General features: G+C 42.2%; 1 protein-coding gene and 2 long non-coding RNA genes across 4 annotated transcripts in view; 2 read left to right on the forward strand and 1 right to left on the reverse strand.

Annotated features, from left to right (window-relative positions):
• Window positions 1–4,143, forward strand: part of LINC01516 (long intergenic non-protein coding RNA 1516) — a 48,176-nt gene extending 44,033 nt beyond the window's left edge. Inside the window, exons 7-8 of the long non-coding RNA NR_120649.1 lie at window positions 1,279–1,408; window positions 2,561–4,143. This is a non-coding gene — a long non-coding RNA (long intergenic non-protein coding RNA 1516). The remainder of the gene's footprint in view (window positions 1–1,278; window positions 1,409–2,560) is intronic.
• On the reverse strand, window positions 982–19,186 carry GPR158-AS1 (GPR158 antisense RNA 1). Its single transcript, NR_027333.2, has 2 exons — window positions 18,586–19,186; window positions 982–2,813 (listed from the first exon to the last, which is right to left on the reverse strand). It is a non-coding gene; the product is annotated as a GPR158 antisense RNA 1 (long non-coding RNA).
• GPR158 (G protein-coupled receptor 158) overlaps window positions 17,911–20,732 on the forward strand; it is a 427,229-nt gene continuing 424,407 nt past the window's right edge. For both annotated transcript variants that reach the window (XR_930512.4, NM_020752.3), the window contains exon 1: window positions 17,911–19,232. Coding sequence is in view for 1 of the 2 variants with exons in the window: in NM_020752.3 (NP_065803.2) it covers window positions 18,331–19,232 (902 nt within the window). In the remaining variant the exon portion in view is untranslated. The remainder of the gene's footprint in view (window positions 19,233–20,732) is intronic.

Genomic DNA, 20,732 nt, shown 5'->3' on the forward strand with positions numbered 1-20,732 from the left:
GAATTTCTGATTTGCTCATTCAGATGAAGTATTAAAGTAAAAATTTAGCTTCTAGAGTATTTAAAACCATACTCCATATATATCCGAGTTTGTTAACTGAGATTTTTGCTTACAATGATTCGAAAACAAAAAGCAAAAACAAAAACAAAAACAAATTTGGAGTTTCAAAATCTTGGTGACTGGCACTTGACTCTTGTTGTCCAGTGGTCAGACCTCAAGAAAAAGCACTGTTTGCATTGAACAGGAACAGAACGGGCACAGTGGCTCATGCCTGTAATCCCAGCACTTTGGGAAACTGAGATGGGTGGATCACCTGAGGTCAGGAGTTCAAGACCAGCTTGGCCAACATGATAAAACCCTATCTCTACTAAAAATACAAAAATTAGCTGAGCATAGTGGCAGGTGCCTGTAGTCCCAGCTACTTAGGAGGCTGAGGGAGGAGAATTGCTTGAACCCTTCCGGAAGTGGAGGTTGCGGTGAAGCGAGATTGCGCCACTGCACTCCAGCCTGGGCAACAGAGTGAGACTCCATCTCAAAAAAAAAAACAAAAAAACCATTCAGGATGGATGCATGGTCTTGGTCCCCTACTCCTGTGTTTGACTGTGTCCTCACATGGTTCCCCTGTGTTCCCTGTGGTCCTTCTGAGTTGCAGAGTACCTGGTATGAGAGATCTGCCCAGCCCAGGCTCAGAGGGCATGTGCCTAGCCTAACCTGCCCAGTAACAGGCAAGACTCCTGCATGCCACCTCACAGCCATCCAATGGCAGTGGGAGGTATGAATCAGTCTTGGTCATAAAGAATGTGGCCAGCCAGACTGAATGGGGTCCTCATTCAGCTTTGTGTGTAGGAGGTGAAAACCACCCCCAAGTCACACATATTGTTAATTGTTAGAATTTCGACTCCAACTTGGACATGGCCCCTCTGTCTAGTGCGTTCAGCTAGGAGCAGTAGCAACGAATTTTTTTTTCTTTTTTTTTTTTTTGCCCCTAAGACTTAGAAGCCTAGCCTGAAGGCAACCAAATAGTTTTCTTGGCAATTTTTCCCCCAGGCTCACACCCTAAACTTGGAATTTCATGCCTTATCACTTTTATGGCAAGAAAAAAAACACAAAAGCCAAACCAAACCAGGAAGAGATAATTTATGAATTAAAACTAAAGCTCTTAGAAGGAAGAGCTAGAATGACCAGGCTGAACTGCCCACTTAATGGTGCATTTTCCCTTAGCTCCCTCTGGTTTCCTTTGACCTTTGATTGGAGGCTGTTTTTATTGATTTGTTTTAGTGACGATGTTGTTGGGGTGAAGGTAGGAAGTGATTTTCTCACTAAGAAGAGGGTCCTGGCCCATATTTTTACTTCAGCTGCTCAAATGACAAGTTTAAATAAGGAAAAAGATTCCAAAAAAGGAATTCAGGTAGGTATACTATGCAGAGGTAAGATGTTTTATTGATTAAGATGGATTGATTTTTAAATTTTATCTTCCGCACTCTTAATGCCTAAAAGCCTACCCCTTAGTGCTATGGTCCAGTACTGTCCTGGTCCTTGTCCTATATCTGCCTTCTTCATAGAAGGGAGTATATGTGAGGGTGGGGAAACCTAGCTTCCTTCCTAGACATTGTAATACAATGCCAAAAAACTGGAGAGGAAAATAACTTTATTATAATTTTCAAAAGCTCTGTCCTGGCTTGTAGGAATTCACTAATTCACAAGTCATTCGGCTATGTTGACACCTATTCCTGGGCATTTTTTTGTCTGAGAACTACTCTTTTCCTCACCTTTGGGTCAATATTAGAGACAAACTTATTAGTGATCAAGGAATTACTGTATAAAATCTAGAATCATTTGCCTATATTTAAGAGACATTCTGTGATCTGGCCCTTCCGACTTCAATTCTTAATTTACTTGGAATGAGTAGTAAAAAGTATGAGTACTAAAAAGCAAAAGTCTTAGGCAAATACTTGGACTAAATTTTATTAATTACTGAAAGTACAGCTGTTTTTCTAGATTGCTTACATATCAAGCTGCCTTTCCTACCAGCTCCTACTGAAGGGCTGCTCAGTTTCACAGTTTCTTGATGTCTAAATAAATAAATAAATACAAAAACAAAACCCACAGTAATAATTTCTCTTGCTGCTAATCTATTATGAGACCAAGGTCTGACCTCATGCCTTTGACTTCTAAATGAACACCAAAATCAGACTCTCTAGGGTATCTAACTATTTCTTCTTCCAAAAGAACTTCAAGAAAGTACTGGGGGAAGTCATCCTTCCCTGAGCTCATACCTTTAATCCTTTATAGGGAATGACGACCGGAAGAGTGGCCTGTGACCTCCTTCTCTCAGAGGAGAAGCTCATTAACTTTATCTTTTCTCTTTACCATCATTGGTCTGAGGGAATCTCAGAAATAACTATTATTGCCAATGAATTGCAAATGAATGAGTATTTATATCTAGCTTTCAGGTGCCATAATTATCATAATGTATTATTAAATGTGCCAGATTAAATTTGGTAAATGATACATCTTCTCTAATTTCTGCATTACTGTTTATTTGTGTTTTAAAATCCAGGAACATTTCCTGTGGGACCAGGCTGTGCTGCCATTGATCACAACTGGCTTTCTGGAGAATTCTGCTGTGCTTCTGTGATCTCGTTGTGGGCCTCATGCTGGAAGCTCTGCTACTCTCCCAGTGGGGACTCCGCTTCTCATTTCCTGGGCCTTCTGTTCATGATTTATGGATGAGACAGAGGATGATGTTGGCTCCATCTGGAAAGTGGGTCAGCCAGTCTTTGAGGAGACACCTTGGAGGCCTAGGAATAGTGCTGTGGATACAGATGACATAAGTTTAGAGACAGATAGGAGAGTGAAGAAAGGACTTGACCCTCAGAAAGTGAAATTCAACTTCAGCCTGAAGTGGAACACTGCTCAAGATAAAGGCTCTGCAAAATGTACTGTAAATGATTCACAACCGTTAATGCAAAGATCCAGGTGAAGAAATATCCTGAAGAAAAACCCGTCCTGATCTCAAATGCTACCCCCAGAGGCCTGCCAGAGCACAGAACTTTCCACAGGCAAATTGCTGGACCACTGGCTAAGGACAGTAAGAAGGGCTGGCCATGTTATTCAGGAGGCAAAGTGTGTTGGCACCTATGGAGACGTTTGTACCATTGGCTTATCAGATGTGTCAGCCCAGTGACTTGCAAAGGGTGAGGGGTGGTCATGTAGCCCATGAGACTCATTCATTTGGGGTCAAGACCACAGAAGAAATGGTAATTGATAATGATTTATTTCCTTCCTTTCCCTTCCCTTTCTGTTCCTTTCTTTCATTTCTTTAATTGACCTCAGGACCTCTGATTAACCATAATCCTTGGTTCCATACACTTTCATCATTGGTCCATTTATGATCTCATTTATTTAATTATTTTAATTAGACAACCATGAGTCCACCACCTAGTACAAAAACTAGGACATCGACAATATTTTACATCTAACTCTATAGTCCTTCCCTTTCTCATCCTCATACCTCACTCCACCCAAGGAGCTCAGCCACCTCCCGGAATCCTGTATTCACAATTTCCTTGCTTTTGTTTTTAAAAGTGTGAGTATCCCACAGTTTATGTAACTGTTCTCCTGTTGATGAGCCCTTATGTTGTTTTTAGGTTTTTCATATTTAAATAGTGATGTAGCAATATTATTGTACATATCACAGGGTATACCTGTGTGAGAGTTTCTTTTGCGTATATATCGAGATGGAAATTGCTCATAGAGTAGGTGAATACTTGACATCACAAGATAATGCAAATTATCTTCCAAAACATACTAATTTTACATTTCTACCAGCAGAGTACAATTTGTAGATCCACATCCCCTCCATTTTTCTCCATGTCCAATGCCAGTAACTTGGCATTATTGGACTTTTAAATTTTTGTCAGGCATGTCAGTTTCACTTGTATCTCACTGTGTTTTGATTTGCATTTCCACACTTAGTAATATGGTTGAACATCCCTTTCATGTTTACTGGTCACATATGTTTCTTTTGTTTTGAAATTTCTGTTCATGTCTTCTGGTCATTTTTCAATTGGGATAAAAGTACTTTTATGCTGATATGCAGGAACAGTGATTTTTCTAAATAATAAAAATCTTTCAAAATTTAAATTTAGTATTCTACTCCCAGATGGATTTATAGAAATGATTTTCATATTATTATTATTTCTACACTAGGAAAATCCTATTTGCATCTAATATATAGGGAGTACTAATGGGAAACATTCATGATCTTCTGAAAATTGCAATCTTTTTAAACATTAATTAAAAAAATTTTAATTGTGAGTACAAAATGGTTGCTTATATTTATCAAAATATGATGTTTTGAAACAGACATACAATGTATAATGATCACATTAGGGTAATTGGAGTATCCATAATCAAAAGTATTTATCTTTTTTTTGTGTTAGGAACATTCCAATTCTACTCTTTCAGTTATTTAAAAATATATAATAAATTATTATTTACTGTAGTCATTCTATTGTGCTATCAAATGTTAAATCTTACTCATTCTATCTAATTGAGTTTTTGCAGCCATTAACCATCTCCACTTTATCCCCCACTCCCCGCTATCCTTCCCGGCCTCTGGTAACCATCATTCTACTCTATCTCTATGAGTTCAAATTTTAAATTTTAGCTCCCACATATGAGTGAGAACATGCAATATTTGTCTTTCTGTGCCTGGCTTATTTCACATAACATCATGACCTCCAGTTCTATCCATGTTGTTGCAAATGACAAGATTTCCTTCTTTTTTATGGCTGAATAATATTCCACTATGTATGTTTACCATGCTTTCTTTATCCATTGAAAATTACAATCTTAAATTCAACAATTTTCAACCACTATGACCATCCCCACTCATCTTTAGTGCAAACCACCATCACCTCTTTCTTTGGCTACTTCAACAGCTTCCTAACTGGTTCTTTTCTTCTCCTACCCTCCCTCTTAAGTCTGTATGGCAGCCCCTATGATTTTGTCACTCCTGGCAAAATCCCCCCATGACTTCCCATAAAGTCCTACATGATTTGATCCTTGCCTCCTCTTTCTATCCCTAATTCTCTGGCCTTCATCCATGCAGTTGTTGATGCTATTCCTGGGATAGACTGAGCTTGATCCTGTTGATAGACCGAGTTTGATCAGCGCCTTTATGATCGTTATTTTTTTGCCAGGAAATTTGTTCTCCTGGGTGTTCCTGTCCATCACTCTTCCACATCATTCACTTGTCTGCTCAGTGCTTCCTAATCAGAGGTGCCTTCCCTGACCACCAATCCCTATATATATTCTTATTTTACTGTATTTTTTTCAAAGCATTTATTATATCTTAAAATTATGTCATATTATTTTTTATTTGTTTATTGTTGCTCTCCTCTGTGGACTGCAAGCACCATGATGGCAGAAACGTGACTGTTCACTGCTATATCACTTTCATCTAGAACAATTAGGTATCTTTTGTCTAGAACATCAAAGATGTTATCTAGGCTAGGACTATGTCTGGCACATAGTTGATGCCCAGTAGATATTTATTTGCTAAATAAAATAAAATAATAGATTATATAGATGACGAGGCAACCAGAAGTTTCTTGTTTACATAAATGTTCACAGATAACATCAAATCAGGAAATATAAAACACATTATACAAAATGAGTTCATAAGAACTGAGATGATTCTAGAAAATCAAGTGAATTGTTGATTGAATTGTGAATTGTTGGGGGACTACTTAGAGTTGGTAGTTCTGATTTTAAAATAAAATTATGGGCCAGATGTGGTGGCTCATGCCTGTAATCCCAGCACTTTCGGAGGCTGAGGTGGGCATATCTCCTGAGGTCATGAGTTCAAGACCAGCCTGGCCAACATGGCAAAACCCTGTCTCTATTAAAAATACAAAATTAGCAGGGCGTGGTGGCGTGTGCCTGTAATTCCATCTACTCAGGAGGCTGAAGCAGGAGAATGACCTGAGCACAGAAGGTGGAGGTTGCAGTGAGACAAGATTATGCCACTGCACTCCAGCCTGGGCGACAGAGTGTGACTCTGCCTCAAAAAAAAAAAAAAAAAAAAAAAAAGTAAATAAAAGAAAATAAAATTATTGAGGTACATTTTACATATCACTACTTTCAAATGAAATGATTTTTAGTAATTTCACTGAGCTATTGCGTCCGGAATTTATTCCTTCCGGTGGGTTCTTGGTCTCGCTGATTTCAAGAATGAAGCCACAGACTGTGGCGGTGAGTGTTACAGTTCTCAAAGATGGTGTGTCAAGGAGTTCGTTCCTTCAGATGTTCAGATGTGTCCGGAGTTTCTTCCTTCAGGTGGGTTCGTGGTCTCGATGACTTCAGGAGTGAGGCTGCAGACCTTCACAGTGAGTGTTACAGCTCATAAAGGTAGTGTGGACCCAAAGAGTGAGCAGCAGAAAGATTTATTGTGAGGGGAGAAAGAACAAAGCTTCCACAGCATGGAAGGGGACCGGAGCAGGTTGCCGCTGCTGGCTGGGTGGCCAGGTTTTATTCCCTTATTTGGCCCCGACCACATCCTGCTGATTGGTCCATTTTACAGAGCGCTGATTGGTCCATTTTACAGAGTGCTAATTGGTCCGTTTTTACAGAGTGCTGATCGGTGCAATCTTTAGCTAGACACAGAGTGCTGATTGGTGTGTTTACAATCTTTTAGCTAGACAGAAAAGTTCTCCAAGTCCCCACCTGACCCAGAAGCTCAGCCGGCTTCACCTCTGTCACCATTAATTAGTATTAGAAAATCTTTTATCCCGTCAATAAGATCCTTTTTACAGTTGATTCTTGTCCTCATTTCTAGGCTGAGTTGTTACTAATCTACCTTCTGTCTCTACAAATTTGCTTGTTCTGGATTTTTTTTTTTTTTTTTTTTTTTTTTTTTGATATGGAGTTTCGCTCTGTCACCCAGGCTGCAGTGCAGTGGTATGATCTTGGCTCACTGCAACCTCCATCTGCTGGGTTCAAGTGATTCTTCTGCCTCAGCCTCCCGAGTAGCTGGGACTACAGGCGTGCACCACCTCGCCTGGCTAATTTTTGTATTTTTAGTAGAGACAGGGTTTCACCATATTGGCCAGGCTGGTCTCGAACTCCTGACCTCGTGATCTGCCTGCCTTGGCCTCCCAAAGTGCTGGAATTACAGGCATGAGCCACCATGCCAGGCCTGTTCTGGATATATATTTTTTTAATTTTATTTTTATTATTATTTTTTTGAGACAGAGTCTTGCTCTGTCACCCAGGCTGGAGTGCAGTGGCGTGATCTCGACTCATTGCAAGCTCCGCCTCCCGGGTTCAAGCCATTCTCCTGCCTCAGCCTCCTGAGTAGCTGGGACTACAGACACCCGCCACCATGTTCGTCTAATTTTTTTTTGTAGTTTTAGTAGAGACGGGGTTTCACGTGTTAGCCAGGATGGTCTCGATTTCCTGACCTCGTGATCCGCCCGCCTCGGCCTCCCAAAGTGCTGGGATTACAGGCGTGAGCCACTGCGCCCGGCCTGTTCTGGATATTTTTTATAGGTGCATGGTCTCTTGTGTCTAGCTTCTTTCACTTAGCATAATGTTTTTGAGCTGTGCCCATGATGCTGCATGGGTTAGTGGTTTGTTCATTTTTACTGCAGAATAGTATTTTGTTACATGGCTGCACCACATTTTCTTTATCCATTCACTGGTTGACGGACCTTTAGGCTGTTTCCAGTTTTTGGCTGTCATGAACAATGCTGCTGTGAACATTCACATCCACACCTTTGTGTGGACATATGTTTTCATTTCTCTCGGGTAAGTGCCTAAAAGTGGAATTGCTGGGTCATTTGTCAGTTTTTGTTTAACTTTTGAGAAACAGCTAAATTGTTTTCTAAAGTGGATATGCACTTTACATTCCCATCTGCTCCACGAAGTTTCCTGTTTCTCCACATCCCTACCAACATTTGTTATTGTTGATCTTATTTATTATAGTCCTTCTAGAAAATATGTAATGGTATCTCATTATTGTTTTGATTTTCTTTTTTGGTTGTTTTTTTCAAACAACAACTTGAACCCGATGTTTTGATTTTCACTTTTCTAATCACTAATGAGGCCGAATATCTTTTCATACACTTATTAACCATTTATATATTGTCTTTGGATATATGTCTATTCAGAGAGTTGGTAGTTGTTAAAGGTTTTAAGAAGAGGAAACATGTATTTGTGAAAGTTTTCTCAATAGAATTAGTTTCCACAAAGGCAAACATAGGACTGGAGTGTGCAAATAACTTATAATGGGAGAGTGTAAACAGGTTAACTTCATTGGAATGGAGAATCTCCAAAAGGTCGTGAAGAACTGGTGGGATAAGCAAAAAAAAAAAAAAAAAAAAAAAAAATCAGTAAACAGTCTTAAATGTCAGGTTGAAAATGTGGCATGAGAGAAGTGGTGGCAAAAATAGATTGGATTCTGATGCTTAAAACAAGTATTAGTATTACGGTTGAATATATATTTACTAGTTTTCCTGTTTGTGTAGACATAATAGGATGCATTCCTTAGTCTATCATAGAACAGCAGGAAAGGGATGGAGTCCCATGGTTATTTGGTTCACCTGTCAATCTAGTCAGAATTAAATACAGCTCATTTCTGATACATGGATATTGTTTTACTGGAGACCACAACTGATTCTTCAAGAAATGAGATTCTCTTCATTTCTTGGTTAATCCATTTCAATGAAAACAACCTTGATATTCAGAGAGCTTTCTTATCACTTTTTTTGTCTTCCTTAAATTTTATTTTATTTTTTAAGAAACAGAGTCTCACTATGTTGCATAGGCCAGCCTCAAACACTTGGGCTCAAGTGATCCTCCCGTCTCAGCCTCTTTAGTTGCTGGGAATACAGGAACATACCATTGTGCCTGGCAAGTTGTAATTCTTTACTTAAAAAAAATCTGATTTGGGATATAAAAACAACCAGTTGAAATGGTTACGTTTTAATCACATTTGGTACTCATGACACTGTGGATTCTTGAAAATTGTTTCTCTTTTTTGCCCTCTGTCCTCTAGCTTGTGTTTTTCGATGCAATATATAAGAACTTGTTATTTCTGTATAGTGCTCTAAAAGAACTCATGCCTCCCCAGATATTGTGATGAGTGATTGTCATGTATGCTTGAAGTCAGTCCTATTATTGAAGAACCTTCTTTGACACAGAGAACAAAGGGAGCTGAAAGCTTGTTATACCAAAACTCTAAAATTCTTGTGTGTCTGACTAGAGAGCTGTTGGTAAACAGCAGGCAAAATCTTGCCCGAAACTGTTCATTCCAAAGCGTACATCAAAGTGACAAGTAGAAATGATTTATATAGGCCACAGCAGTGAGGCTTCTGCATCAGACCTACTTTAATGATAGCACCCAAAGCAATCAAAACAAGCCACTTTTTAGTACATTTTAATAAGTACCTCACAGATATGGAAGTTCCCTCTCTTCCCTTCCCTTGGGGACAATTCACACTTACAGCTAATTTCTCATTGAGCACTTGATGCTTGTCAGAGAAAAAGGAAGAAAAAGAATAGAAGGAGAAGGAGGAGGAAAAGGAAGAGGAGAAGGAGGAGGAGGAGGAGAGGAAGGAGAAGGAGGAGAGACCAATTGACTAGAGGTTAGATTAAAAAAGCCTGAAAGTAAATTTGTCACCATTATTTTTTCTTTAGGGACAGCAGAGGTCTGGAGGAAACATTTTTAGGCATACATAATATTGCAGTTAAAATACAACTATAGATCTACAAAACAGTTTTCTGTTTTGACTCATACCTCGGTAATAGTCCATTTTCTTAGCCTGAAGATATTTCCATCAGGACATATGCAGTAATTTTCTCTTTTCACAATATTTTGTTAGAACATATTTCTGTGATATGTTTGTTTCTTTGTTTTGTTATTTCATACAATCCTAACTTTAAGATGATACCTGGGCTAGGGGCAGGGGCTCATGCCTGTAGCCACGGCACTTTGGGGGGCCGAAGTGGGAGATTTGCTTGAGGCCAGGAGTTCGAGATCAGTCTGGGCAACATAGTGAGATCTTGTCTCTATAAAAAAAAGTAATAAGATAAAATAAAATCAAGATAATATCTGAAATGTGAACAAAATCAACACTACTGGATTATTTTCCCTCAATTTTTAAAAATAGTAAACATTTTACAAGCAGCTTCCTATTATTTTAACCTGATCTTTGTAAGTTTGGATTTATAATTTCTGCTTTTTATTACTTTTTTAAATTGACAAAAATTGTATATATTTATGGTATGCCACATGATGTGTTGAGATATGTATACATTGTAGAATGGCTAAATTGAATTATTCAACTTTGTTTTTTTTTTGAGACGGAGTCTCTATCTGTTGCCCAGGCCGGAGTGCAGTGGTGTGATCCTGGCTCACTGTAACTTCTACCTCCCAGACTCAAGTGATTTTCTTGCCTCAGCCTCCTAAGCAGTCTGGGATTACAGGCACCCGTCACAATGCCTGGTTAATTTTTATAATTTTAGTAGAGACAGGATTTCGCCATGTTGGCCAGGATGGTCTCAAACTCCTGGAATAAAGTGATCTGCCCGCCTCAGCCTCCCAAAGTGCTAGGATTACAGGTGTGAGCCACCACCTTAATTATTCAGTATTTGCATTACCTTACATATTTAGTATTTATTTGTAGTAATAACACTTAAAATCTACTCTCTTGGCAATTTTGAAGTATACATTATTGTTAGCTATGGTCACCACGTTGTGTAATAGATCTCTTGACCTTATTCCTCCTGTCTAACTGACATTTTGTGTCTTTTCACTATCTCCCCAGTTCCCTGCCCCCACCCCAGGCCCTGGTAACAATCATTCTACTTTCTGCTTCTGTGAGACTTTTTTAGATTCCACATATAAGTGAGATCATGTGGTGTTTGTCTTTCTGTGCCTGGTGAATTTCACGTCAGCATAATGTTCTCCAGGTTTATCCATGTTGTCACACACGTTTCTGCTCTTTATCAATGAAGAATTGTCATTAATTAGTGTGTCCTGTGTGTGTGTGAGATGTGCACACATCATATAGGCGTGGTCCTGAGGCAGGAGAATAGGGTCTGGAGGCAGGGAACTTAAGGCAAGTTGGTGCTGACTTCCTAAAGCTGAACCAAGGGAAAACACCAAAGTCTGGGGCAAGGAATCTAAGGCCAATTCGTGATAATGTCCTAATGTTAACTCAAAGGGAAAACACCTGAATCTGCGGGCAGGGAACCTAAGAGCAATTAACACAAACTTCCTAAAGCTAAACCAAAAGGAAAAACCCCATCTCCCCACACCAGAGTAGCAAAGGATCAAAGGCTACCCTCCCAGCAATCCTCCCTAGTCCACCAGGCTCAGGTGGAAAGGAAAATGCCCAGGATTGGCGTGGGCCAAGTATGGACCATCCCGTCATCTGCATAGGGTGCCAATTCACCTCAGCCTTTAGCCACAGACCAAATCCACCATCCAGATAAGGGGGAGCCGATAGGGACCTCAAAAGGAGTACTTAAAACCCAGAAAACTTTGTAACTGGGCCCTTGAACCACTTGCTGGGGCCCATTCCCACCCTGTGGAGTGCTTCCTTGCTTTAATAAATCCCTCCTTTTGCTGTTTCATTCCTGTGGTTCATTCCTTTGTTATTAATACTTGTTTGCGTGTTTTGTTCAATTCTTTGTTCCAAAAACCAAGGACCTCATGGCCCATCCTTCCAGTAACAGTCCCAAATACTTGAAGTTCCCAACTTTCCTCATCTCCTGTGTTAAGACGGAAAGCCAAGTCCTACATTGATTATGAAATAAACACCCGTGACACCCAAGGTAACAAGGTAATGTGCTGATGGAAACGATGTTGTGGGCTCTGACAACATACATATACTTAAGGTGTGATGTGTTTCCCTCCAGTGAGGGAAGCAGGCAAAATTGAGCAAAAAAAAAGTAATCCATTTCTCATCTCTTCTTATCCACAAGATCAATCTTTTTCAGTAGATTTTGTTTCAAAGTTTTGGTTGCTTTTATTTCTTGATGGGAAAGGGAGGCAGTCTTTGGATTGAATGGAGTTGGGCTGTCCATAATTTGCTATAATTTTTAGTAAATGGTATATTGGCCCTTAACTGCACTGCATGTCAGGTCAATGACATGGAAAGTCATTTAGGTAAATGTTTTGCCTTAGCACATTCAGGATTTTCCTACATAAATACCATCTCCTAGTGTTTTCTTCCCTTGTGGTTGGAAAGTTCTTGAGATGTCTTTGGGTTTACCAATCAATTTTGTGTGATGGGGAGAAGATGGAGGAAACTAGCAATTTGGGTCAAAGCCCCAGTGACTATGGAGATGATACTGTTTTTAGTAGTACTTAAAAAAACAACAAAAACAAAACATTTCATTGAGAATTCAGGGACAGCCCAAGTCATGCCTTCATAGCGAAAAGCAGAGGAGATAACTGTAGAAAGAGTTGGAGTGTTGTTAGAAGTGATGCCGACAGGGAGTAAGAGTTTAAGGGTAAACTGGAGGCAGATGAGAATAAATTGCTAAGTGAAAAACATAAATATCTTGGGTAAGCTTTCTCAGTTGGAAATAGACAAACTAGAGACATTTTTTTTCTTAGCAGATTTTAGGCATCTTTTCATTCATTCATGTTGACTTTCTCCTTTTTCCATGTAAAATACGTGGAAACGTGTAAGCATATAGAGGCAACAGATTATAATGGTAAAAAGCATGGTACAGGGCAGTGGTTCTCAAAGTGTGATCCCTGGGCCAGCAGTATTAGCATCACTGGAAATGTGTTAAGAATGTGGATTCTCAGGCCCTATTCCAGACTACTGAATCAGCAATTTTGGGAGCAGGGGCACTAATCTGTGTGCTGACTAAACGTCTCCAGGTGAATCCAATATATAAACATTTGCGAGTCACTGGTCTAATTATTGTGAGCATGACATCTGGAGCCAGATGGGTGAATTAGGGCAATTTATTTTTTGGGCTGTTTGATTCCCATCTGTAAAGTGGAAACAGTACCAAACTTACAGTGTTATAATAAAGATTAAGTGAGCTAAAGTATGTAAAATCCTTAGCATAATGCCTGGCCACTATAAGTGCTATATAAATATAATATTAATAATACTTTTTACTGGTTTTATTTTTTCACAGGCTATGTTTCACAATTGCTAGTAAGCCTTTGTGTTTACCAAAACAAAACAAAACAAAAAACAAAAACGACGAAACGACTTTTCTCCTAATATCTTAGAGTTATTTTCCTTGGCTCAAGGCAGTATTTCTCAGCATGTGTTCCACGGATCATTTGTATCAGAATCACCTGAGAATGCAGATGCTAAAGTCTCACCCAGATCAAAAATTTGAATTCTTTGGCGATACTTCTGCATCCTGAAATTTCAAAACCATTACTCTTGGATAACAAAGACTATAATCTTCATTTTGCAAATGAGCACATGAGACACAGGGATAACATATACTTAGAGAAAGCCAGTCTCAGTCGACTCAGGAATAAGAACTGGATTTCTGATTTTGTGTTATATTAAAAAACTATATTGTCTGTAGTTTTATTTACATTATCAGAAATTTGACCAGAGTTGTGCTACTTTGTTTACTGAGATCCATTATTATTTAATCTAAAAATAACCTTTACCTTATAAATCTGGGAGGACAAGAACAATGAGTTCCTGGTAAATATGCATAGACTATGATTCACACTTAGCTGTAATTATTCCAGTTGTGGACTACGTATCTGAACAGAACTCCTATTTTCTAGATTTAGAGAAAGGGCTCAGGGAGGTTGAAAAAAATTGTCAAGAGTCACATGATTAGAAAATGGTAGAACCAGTTAGAGCTGAGTCTCTCAATGGCCAATCCAGTGCCCTTTCACCACATCCTGTAGTCTTAATCCTTGCTTATTTAAATGATTTAAAGCTGTATTTAAATATTTTTTAAAACTCAACCTATACTGCTCACATAAAATATGATTTCAGTAGTTTGTGACCTTTATTTTATTTAAAGATATGTTAATGTCACATCTTCCTCTTTATAATAGTGATAAATCAATCATATAAAGACAACTAATAACCCATATGCCCATTACATACTGCTTTTTCATCAGTGCAAATTTGGTTGTTCTAAAGCAATTAGATTGACTTTTCAGGCTGTGTTGAAAAACTCCTTGGGCTTTTCCACCCATGGTCATAGGTCATGTACCCATAGTTCTATTAAAATACAATAAAGCTCCTACACAGTATATATGTTCATTTAGACAACTTAGCTCTTAATTTTGAGGCATGCATAGGGATATTTATCTCTATCTACAAAGCATGCTTATATAATTGGGGGAGGGAGATAATCATCCCCGCCCCACTTCCTGTCTTATCTTATAAAATGATTTTCCTTTGTGTCGATTGTTTGTTCTATTCTTATTACATATGACCGTTAGCATATTGCATTTATTTTTTTCCACTTGCCTTTCCTGCTAAGGAGAGAATATTTGTATTCTTAGTGCTTCCATTCACTACTCCCTCTACTTAAGGTAAGTTTCTTCCCATCTTACACTTACCTGGTTCACTACTACTTACTACCTAGGCAGTTACTCCTCATTCTTGGGGTTTCAGCTCAATTGTCACCTCCTCATAGTCTTTCTTTCCTTTATCTCTTTATATATGTTCTCTGCTCCTGTACCTTGCACCCTTTATCACTTCACAGTGTTTATTTCTTCGTGGTACTTATCACAACATGCTATTGTCTTATTTATTTGTTTGCATTTTTATCTCTAGCTCTCTCTCTCTACCCACTTGGCTGTAAGAGCCACGTAGACAGAAGATGTGCCTATTTCGTCCCAGTACCAAGCACAATGCCTGATACATAGTAGAGGCTCAATGAACATTGGTTGAATGAATGAATATGTCTTATGCAAGATGGTGTAGAATTTTGTTGTCTGCTTTGAGGAGTGTGTGTGTGTCTGTGAGTGTGTGTGTCAAACCTTGATCCCTTAAAAGAATCTCTTTTGGATTATTCTCTTTACTGATAGACACTAACATAGACATAGGATTATCTACCTACTCAGTTACCTTGATTCCAGACCTATTAAATGGACCAGAACTCCTAGAGCATTTGGAACTTTGTGCCTTATCTTGCATGGACCTAGATTTCTTAGCACTCTGGACCGCAATGGACTGTCTTCTAGAGCTTGTACTCTAGGGTAGCCTCTGGCCACGGGTGGCTAGTCAGCACTTGAAATGTGGCTAGTGTGAAGTGCCTTGTGCTGTGAGTGTAAAATACAAATCAGATTTTGAAGACTTAGTGTAAAAAGTGTAAAATATATCATTAATACTTTTACATTGTTTACTTATTGAAATGATAAAAATTTGGATATATTGGGTTACATAAAATTTACTATTAAAATTAATTTCAGTCTTTTTCTTTTTACTATCTTAATATGCTATTTGAACATTTGAAATTATTTATAAGGATCCTACTTCTGGTTCACATTGTATTTCTATTGGGCAGTGCTGTTCTAGATCCAACTAGCTCATCCCAGCTGTTTGGCAATGTAGGTTGAAGGGGATCCATTGAAGGGAATACTATAATTGCAAGAGTCTCTCATATTCTGCATCTTTCTCATTAGATATGCACTTGGGAAAGGATTGGTGCCCTGGGAGACTAGCTCAGGTGCCTCCCCCGTACAACCTCAATGTGAAATCCCGAGGCCCACACACAGTTTGTGTCCCAAGACACAGAAATTTTAAATGTCTTGCCAGTGGTCATATATCTTCCTTTAAAATAAAGCTAGAACCAGAATCCAGGTCTTTTGATTGTGCTTAGTTCATTTGATTACTTACAGAAGGATCTACGAATACAATTATGTCTTCTTTTAAGTTAGATACTAGAGGATTTTAAAGAATTGTTAATAAGTTATATAGGTTTTCTAAAAGGATCAATGAATGAGGAAATTATACTTCGGACTTTAGATGGTTAAGTAAATGGAATACCATAGTTTATACTTTGATACATTAAATAAGCAGAAACTCTTTCTGTTATTATTGCCACCCATACTGTGGCAGAGCACTAAACCGGGATGACCTTTACTTAGCATAGGAGCATACATTGCAAAGAAAAATTTAAACAAAAAGTCGGAAATGAACATGAAATCTACTTGTAAGTAAATATAAATCTAATAACCACTCTTTGCATAACTATAAAAACTCATTTGGAGACCAACCACTGCGGTTTGAAAAACTGGTTGCTGTGTCTTCTTCCAAAAACCCTCATCACTGGTGTGTCAGGCAGACTTCTCTTCTTGGGTGAGGAGATTGATTTTTAAGTTAGCTTCATCATCATGATCTTCCCATTCATTCACTAATTTAGCAACTATTTAGCCAGAGCCTACTATGTGCCAGGTAGTGTTCTGGGTGCTCAAGGTACCTCAGTGACCAATGCAGACAAAGATTTTTGCTCTTTTGGAGCTTACATTCCAGTCCTTAAGTATTTTCTCAATAGGAAGGATGACATGAAATAGTACAGTGAATCTAAGCAGTGCCTGCTTAGAATGCCATGAGGGACATTTTTGTTAGTTGGGAATTAAAGTAAGTTGGATATTTTCTATTTGTGTCTTTCTTGGGGAATTTGAAAATAGAGGTGCATATGGAAAGTGGAGCTAGCTGTGCAAAACACTACTTTTCTGGTACCAGTCTACTTTTGGAGTGTCAGAAGACACTTAAATTCTCTAATAAGCGTCAAAACATCAATTAGATTGTGTTAAGAAATTTACCAATAATTTGGGGGACTTGGCATACTTGCTCAGTTCTTCTTTCTTCTGCTGGGATATCCCAACCTTTAGCTAAATAGAAGTCTTAGTTCTTATCTCTCAATTCCAGGAACTCCCAGTCAGGATGATTTCCCTTCTCACTCAACACAGGCTCCTTCTCATTCTCCCAGAGCTCATGAGTCCTCCCCCTTGCTCTCTCCCTTACACATCTTTACTTGCATACATTTTTACACGTTCCCCTCCATTCTGGCCCCCAAGCAGAGATTCCTTAAATATGACTTTTTTTTCTCTCCTTAAAGCACAGCTGGTAGATTTCTCCATTACTCCCTCAGCTAAGATGAGCCTAGACAAGTATGTTTTAATCATTTCTTTAACTGACAACAAGAAAGATGATTTGATAATTTGCCTAAAATGAGCAGATGCTCAGGAGGACACGTCTCCATCCTATGTCCCTTCTGTCTAATTTCACCTAGAAATGAAAACTACTCCCTTCTCCCTCTTTTCCAGGCAAAAGGCTGATTTAACTAAGCATGCAAGACGCCAACACCCTCCCCCTCAGTACGTCCAAGTTTCCTTCGCTCTGAGCCACCGAATCTCTGCTTCTCCCCCCTCTGCCGCCCACCCTACGCCACCCACGCAGGTTTCCGAGTCATCCGGAACGCGAGTGGGTGCGAGGACTCGGCAGGCTGCCTCCCGCGCCCCCGCCGCCCGCGGGCCGCCTCGGGTTCAGCACTGGACAGCTCCCTCCCCGGCCCCACAAATGGCAGTCGGCTGATTGACAGAGGAGCCGACCAAACAGGGAACAAGACGACTTGCAGCCGCCCTACAAGGGTTTGGTTGCGGCCAAGCTGCCTCTTTAAACTGGCTTTCCTCCCCCGAGGAGGGAGCAGGGAGAGAGGGTGGAGTGTGGTTTGCGGCCAAACCTAAAGGCTGCAATTAACCAGCCGCCCGGCCTTCGCTACTCCGGACAGACGAACGTCTTAAAGGACGTCTTCGCTCCTCGGGAGTCGCGGCTGCGCTCGCGGTGCGGGTCTGGGCGCGCGCCCCGCGCCTCCGGGCGAAGCGGTCGAGGAGGAGCCAGTGCCGGGAGGCGGGAACGACCTGCGGCGGGTGAGACTATGGAGCAGCGTCTTCGGCGGCCGCGGCGGCAGCAGCAGCAGCAGCTTCTGAACGCGCCTCAATGAGAGCGGCGGTGGCGGCAGCCGGGCCGAGAGACGGACTCGGGCTGACTCCAGCCGCTGGGAGCGCGAGGCCATGTAACCCGCTCGGCTCCAGGCTGCGAGGTGCGTAATCCCCAGCCGGCCCCTCGCGCAGCGGGCACGGCCAGCGCTGCCACAGGTGACTTGATTTCTGCGACGGTAGCTTAGCCACCCGGGGCCAATCTCGAAACATTCTTATTTTCAAGTCCTTTGGACTGGGTGCCATCTGGAGAAGGGGGAAGACTCCTCGAAAAAGTCTGACTGTTGAGAAACTGACGATCCAAATTTAAAAAGTGATTCCCCCCCCTCCCGTTCCCTCCTCTTCTCTCTGGGAGGCAGATGGGAGCCATGGCTTACCCCTTACTCCTCTGCCTCCTGCTTGCTCAGCTGGGATTGGGAGCTGTTGGCGCCAGCCGCGACCCCCAAGGACGGCCGGATTCCCCTCGAGAGAGGACCCCGAAGGGGAAGCCGCACGCCCAGCAGCCGGGTCGAGCCTCTGCCTCGGACTCCTCGGCTCCCTGGAGCCGCTCCACCGATGGCACCATCTTGGCGCAGAAACTCGCCGAGGAGGTGCCCATGGACGTGGCCTCTTACCTCTACACCGGGGACTCCCACCAGCTGAAGCGAGCCAACTGCTCCGGCCGCTACGAGTTGGCGGGCCTGCCGGGGAAGTGGCCAGCCCTGGCCAGCGCGCACCCCTCCTTGCACCGGGCGCTGGACACACTGACACACGCCACCAACTTCCTCAACGTGATGCTGCAGAGCAATAAGTCGCGGGAGCAGAACTTGCAGGACGACCTGGATTGGTACCAGGCGCTGGTGTGGAGCCTTCTGGAGGGCGAGCCCAGCATCTCCCGGGCGGCCATCACCTTCAGCACCGATTCGCTGTCCGCACCGGCCCCACAGGTCTTCCTCCAGGCCACGCGCGAGGAGAGCCGCATCCTGCTCCAAGACCTGTCCTCCTCCGCACCCCACCTGGCCAACGCCACTCTGGAGACCGAGTGGTTCCACGGCCTCCGGCGCAAGTGGAGGCCCCACTTACACCGCCGCGGCCCCAATCAGGGGCCCCGGGGCCTGGGCCACAGCTGGCGGCGCAAGGACGGGCTCGGCGGGGACAAGAGCCACTTCAAGTGGTCTCCGCCTTATCTGGAGTGCGAGAACGGGAGTTACAAGCCCGGGTGGCTGGTTACTCTTTCCTCTGCCATCTACGGGTTGCAGCCTAACCTGGTCCCGGAATTCAGGTAGGGAGGGCCGGGGGGCAGGGGGGAAGGCAAAAGCGAAGCTTTCCTTCCGGTCTTGTGGGTGGGTGCACGTGTGAGGAAGGAACCCTTGGCTGTGACGCGAACGCTTCTCACCCTCAGAGTAGAGACCCGGGCTGAGGGACACCCCACGCGGGCGCGGGTGCTTGGGGGCAAGAAGCGCCCCACGCCCGTCAGCTTCCGGCGCTCGGCGAAAGCCATTCATTCTCTCGGACCAGTTTCCCCGCACTGGGCGAGGGACAGGCAGCCCTTGGCAGGACGGAGACACCCCCGCTGCTCTGTGCTTCCCTCCAATTGTCCGGAGAGCAGGGAGGGGCGTTCCCCACCGGGGGGCGATGCGACAACTTGGCGAGCGCCGGGTGTGTCCGCGGAGTGGCAAGCCTCAGATGAGAGGCGAAAAGGGAGCAGGAGGAACAGAGAGTTCCTTGTTTCTGCCACTTTGGGGTAGCCTCTGCCTGCTTCCTACGTGTGCAGTTGGGGGCACCGGTCTGTTGTTAGTCAGAGCTTATAATTAAAACTGTGCCATCTCCTCGCAGTTCCGGCCCCTCAGCAGTGAGTCAGTCCCAGCAGCTAGCTGTCTCTGGGATCCAGACTTTGCAGCTTGGTCAGGGTGCTCCTTCTACCGGTCTCCCCTCTCCCCGCAATTGATCTTTCCTTCCTCGGTGGCCTTTTCCTCCTCTTCCCTGTCTTAGGCATACTTAAGGGTTCTCCAGCCCTTCACACACTCACATGATTTATAAAAGGACCTAGTTATATTCGGGAGGGAGGCATCAGTTGTGACTGAATTCACTCAAGGAGGCTGGAGGAAACTTAAGGGAGTCTGTACTTCCTGTCTCAAACTATAGCATTTGAGGGAAGCAGAGAATTTGCAAATTAACAGGTTTTAACTTCTGCCTGGGAAGTGCCTGACCTTTGAGGCGGGGAATTTCTAGAAGCAACCTTTAAGAGTAGATGTGAGGAAGGAACTGAAAGAGTAGTTACACCAAAGAGGGCTTAGGAGAGGGCCCAAGATGAACTGAGATCTTCCCTTAGTCCCATGAGGGAAGGCTCTGGAAAGAGGGTCTTGGGGGCTGAGGTTGCTTTTGTACTTTTTGGGAACCTGGGCAGGACTGAGAAACCTTTGTGTGTGGATTATTTATTATTTTTTAAATACCCTGTCACAGCAAGGTCAGGATGCTGACCTGCTGAAAGATGCCAGATCAAGTACTGGGTGGGCAAGTGGGAAAGGTCAGAAGGCTTGTTTGTCTTGGTACTGCCATTTACTGCTGAATGACCTCAACCAAGTTGCTTAACCTCTCTGGGCCTCAGCTACTTATCTGTCCAGTGAGGGAGTTGAACTAGACAGTCTCTAGGGAGCCATCCAGTTATCAAGTTTTGTAGCTTTTAATGTTGGCAACACTTGCAAAGGCATAAAGGATAATAAACCCCTTTGTCTGATTCTGTATGACCATATTAAGTGCATGTGTGTGTGTCTTTGCCTGT

Source organism: Homo sapiens, chromosome 10 (assembly GCF_000001405.40).
Source record: "Homo sapiens chromosome 10, GRCh38.p14 Primary Assembly".
NCBI classification, from domain to species: domain Eukaryota; kingdom Metazoa; phylum Chordata; class Mammalia; order Primates; family Hominidae; genus Homo; species Homo sapiens.